General features: G+C 45.1%; 1 pseudogene; it reads left to right on the forward strand.

Annotated features, from left to right (window-relative positions):
* Positions 201-913, forward strand: DAP3P2 (death associated protein 3 pseudogene 2; annotated as a pseudogene).

A 1,129-nucleotide genomic window follows, 5' to 3' on the forward strand; every position in this document is an offset into this window, starting at 1 on the left:
GCTGAGGCAGGAGAATCGCTTGAACTCGGGCAGTGGAGGTTGCAGTGAGCCGAGATCATGCCACTGTACTCCAGCTTGGGCAACAGAGTGAGACTTCATCTCAAAAAAAAGAAAAGAAAAGAAAAAAAGAAGTCACTGAATGTGTAACATGCAATAATGAGAGAAGGCCTCTGGCAGCACTGCAATCCACTGTCTCTCCCAATAGGGCATAACACGGGTGAGGAACACCACAGATGCAGCTGGAATTGTGCTGAAAGAGCTAAAGAGGCAAAGTTCTTTGGGTGTTTTTCACCTGCTGGTGGCCGTGGATGGAATCAATGCTCTTTGGGGAAGGACTGCTCTGAAAAGAGAAGATAAATGCCCGATTGCCCCAGAGGAATTAGCACTTGTTCACAACCTGAGGAAAATGATGAAAAATGATTGGCATGGAGGTGCCATTGTGTTGACTTTGAACCAGACTGGGTCTCTCTTTAAGCCCCGGAAAGCCTATCTGCTCCAGGAGTTGCTGGTAAAGGAAGGATTTGATGCCCTGGATCCCTTTATTCCCATCCTGGTTTCCAACTATAACCCAAAGGAATTTGAAAGTCGTATTCAGTATTGTTTGGAAAACAATTGGCTTTAACATGAGAAAGCTCATACAGAAGAGAAAAAAGAGCTGCTGTTCTTAAATAACGCAAACCCCTCGCTGCTGGAGTGGTGCTGTGCCTACCTCTAAGCCACAATCACAATATGTGAGGAAGACAATGGACATCTGCTTTAGGCTGAACCCAGTGAGATGAGGAAGTCTGGCAGTATACAGGAAGAGGAGCCAGGCCCTTGTACCTATGGGGGATTGGACAGGACTGCAGTTGGCGCTGGACCTGCATTAAAATGGGTTTCACTGTGAACATGTGACGAGATATTCCCTTGTTCCAGAAACTTATATCGGTTTATTGGATGTGGTTTTTCACATTTAAGATAATTATGGCTCTTTTCCTAAAAAATAAAGTATCTGTCTAAAAAAAAAAAAAATTCTGCTGAGGCGAGCAGATCACGAGGTCAGGAGTTTGAGACCAGCCTGCCCAGTATGGTGGAAACCCCGTCTCTACTAAAAATACAAAAATTAGCCAGGTGTGGTGGTGCACCTGTA

The sequence above is a fragment of the Homo sapiens genome, chromosome 2 (genome assembly GCF_000001405.40).
Source record: "Homo sapiens chromosome 2, GRCh38.p14 Primary Assembly".
Lineage (NCBI taxonomy): Eukaryota > Metazoa > Chordata > Mammalia > Primates > Hominidae > Homo > Homo sapiens.